Source organism: Homo sapiens, chromosome 11 (assembly GCF_000001405.40).
Source record: "Homo sapiens chromosome 11, GRCh38.p14 Primary Assembly".
Classification (NCBI taxonomy): domain Eukaryota; kingdom Metazoa; phylum Chordata; class Mammalia; order Primates; family Hominidae; genus Homo; species Homo sapiens.
The window spans coordinates 56,662,452-56,665,577 of record NC_000011.10 but is presented as its reverse complement, the minus strand read 5'-3'; the positions used below and the strand labels follow the sequence as shown (position 1 = coordinate 56,665,577).

Here is a 3,126-nt window from a genome sequence, read left to right as displayed (position 1 = left end):
GTACTAATTTTAGATGGGAGCAGGTAAGCTAACCTTGTAGACATAACAATCTTGCTAAAATCAGCCTTAGAGATTGCATCCAGCTTTATCTTTCTTAGAGCCCCAGAATTATTGGATTTCCTCTGAGGGCCAAGAAGATGTCAATATATACAGTTGACAAAACTATGATGCCTACTCCTTTTTAACATTAGGTAGAGAAGGTCAAAGAAATCCTGTGGTTATTAGTTGAACCCACCCACTTGACCCACTAAAGGGAAAGCTGAGGACAGAAAAAGAAGACGATTTTATTCCCTGATTATAGCTAGTCACCAGCAGAACTTAAATATCTGGCTCTTATCCTTGGACTTCGCATAGTCACTGATTTGTTACCAGTGACAGCAGATTCAGAGAGACAATACAGTCACTGGAAGCACAGCAAACTCCTTGTTGGCAAAAAGCCTTGTGTTTATATCCTCTAGAACCTGGCACATACATAACACTTAAAATTTTTTGCTAAATATATGAATGGATAGAACTCAGACTGAGTTACATTGTCCCTCACACCAGCCTCATTCTCCATGTTTTTAACTACATTTTCTCTGACTTCTTTTGAGAGTAAAAAAAATTTCAACATTTGGACCTGGCATTCCTCATGACCCCAGGGGAAAAAAAATTGTTCAGAGTTATTGACTATTTCTTTCTCTTACTGAGTCCTGTCCCAGTTTCTAATTAATATGTGAACCAACTTTAAATAAGAAATGAATGTATTTTGCCCAGTATGTCTTTCAAATATACTAATTTAGTTTATATTTCTTTCAGATTGCAGAGTTAAGGATTAGAGCCCACCCTTCAGAATTTAATATTCACTTAGCAAGGAGATGGTAACTTGGGTAGTGTTTATCGAAAAGTTATTTGCATTTTCTATGCCCTTCTACTACTGTCATTTACCTATGACAGAAACAGATTTTCATTTTGTGTTATTATTGAGATTTTTTTCCAATTAGCTTTTTGAAAGCAGCTTTCACATCCTTGTTCCGCAAACTGTAGATCAAGGGATTTAACATGGGGATGATAACCGTGTAGAACACAGAGGCCCACTTGTCTTGGTCCAGGGAGTAGCTGGATGTTGGCCTCAGGTACATAAACATGACTGTGCCATAGAAGAGGGTGATGCCAGTAAGGTGAGACCCGCAGGTGGAGAAAGCCTTAAGGCGGCCTTCAGCTGAACGCATTCTGATGATTGCAACAAGGATAAAGGTATAGGAGATGAAGATGATGAGGATGGTGCTGAATTCAATGAAGCCACACAGACTGAAGAGCAAGATCTCACTGATGTAGGTGTCTGAGCAAGAGAGGGCCAAGAGTGGTGGGATTTCGCAGAAGAAATGATTGATGATATTGGAACCACAGTAACTCAGGCTGAAGGTGAGGGTAGTGTGGGCTACTAAACTCACTAGACCAGCCAGGTAAGAGCCCAGCATGAGAGCCAAGCAGACCTGCTTGGACATGAAGGTGCTATAGTGGAGGGGTCGACAAATGGCCACAAAACGACCATAGGCCATGGCTGCCAGGACATAGCACTCAGCATCCACAAAACCTACAAAAAAAGCAAACTGGGTGGCACAGCTGGAGAAGGAGATAACTTTGTGATTTGTTAGGAAGTCAGCCAGCATCCTGGGGGCAATGGCTGAGGAGTAGCCCAGGTCAACAAAGGAGAGGTTGCAGAGGAAAAAATACATGGGTGTGTGAAGCTGAGTGTCTGTTGTAATCAGGATAATCATACCAATATTCCCCACTACATTAACCAGGTAAACTATGAGGAAGACCACGAAGAAGATGATCTCCATCTGAGGGTCCTGGGTGATGCCCATGAAGATAAACTCAGTCACCATTGAGCTGTTTTCTTTATCCATTGCTTCAAGTGTATGTGTGCCTGGATTTAGTTTTTTGATGGATGTAGTAAATTCCCTGTCACTGAAAATATTCAAACTAAAGACGAGCAATCATATGCCAGAGATATTGCAATATACATATATATATATATATTTATCTATTGTGTATATGTGTATACATATAGTTCTACAGTAAATGAAGGCTTTGTTTAGGATGATTCATAAAAATCTTTCCAGTAATTAGATTCTATGACCAATAGAATAACTCAAATGCTTTGTTAAAATGGTGATGTGTCCTCTCCATGTGCCCACTGACAGCATGAGGAGGTGTTAACTTCTTGGGAATGGCAAGTTCTGCTTCTTCAATGACCTTGGTGCTCCGGGGTCATTTATCACATGATACTAGATGTTTGACTCAGTCTGCACAATTGTGTGTCTTATTAATGAGTAAAGAAGAACAGTGTGGATATTTCTTCTTTCTAAAAGAAAGCAAATATAAATTCAGATAATGAATAAACTTTAATTTTCATTACAGGTAGACATAGATAGGAAAATAAGTGACACGAGGACCTCAAAGTATAACACATCACACATATACAGAAAGTGAAATACTTGGAACAGAAGATCAGACATATAAGAAAACACAGTAAATGATAATTTTTAAAAAGCCAGAGTTACTGAGTGGCACAAGAGAAATTAAAAAAGACATATTTCTGATTTAAAAAACTTGTATCCATAACATACAAAGACATTTTAATACCTAATAATAAGAAATCAGACAATCCAATAAGAATTGGTCAAAAATTTCAATAGATACTCACCAAAGGAGATCACTGAATCACAAATAATTGCGTAAAAATGCTCAAATATTCATTAGGGGAATACAAGTTAAAAACACAATAAAATAATGTTACACACTAATGATTAAAATTTTAAAAGACTGACTATACCAAGTGTTGACAAGGAAATGTAGTAATTGGAAATTTTATCGTTATTGGTAGAAATGTAAAGTAGTACAACCACTTTAGAAAACTGTTTCATAGTTTCTTATAAACTCAAAAATATGCATACCAACTCTATGATTCAGTCATTAAATAACCCTGCAAACAGCCTAACTGTACATAAGTGACAGGGTAAGTAAATTGGGGTATGTCCATAAAATGAAATGCTAATTAATGATTAAAAGAATCAGATTATTGACACATGCAATGTGTTAGATGAATCTCAAAATAATTAGACTGAGAGAAAACAGCCA

At 37.3% G+C, this 3,126-nt stretch overlaps 1 protein-coding gene across 1 annotated transcript; it reads right to left on the bottom strand.

Annotated features, from left to right (window-relative positions):
• Nucleotides 1–959: 959 nt before the first annotated feature.
• OR5AR1 (olfactory receptor family 5 subfamily AR member 1) lies at nt 960–1,892 on the bottom strand. The gene has a single exon (NM_001004730.1). It carries the CDS (start codon nt 1,890–1,892, stop codon nt 960–962), a length of 933 nt encoding a protein of 310 aa, NP_001004730.1.
• Nucleotides 1,893–3,126: the final 1,234 nt, after the last annotated feature.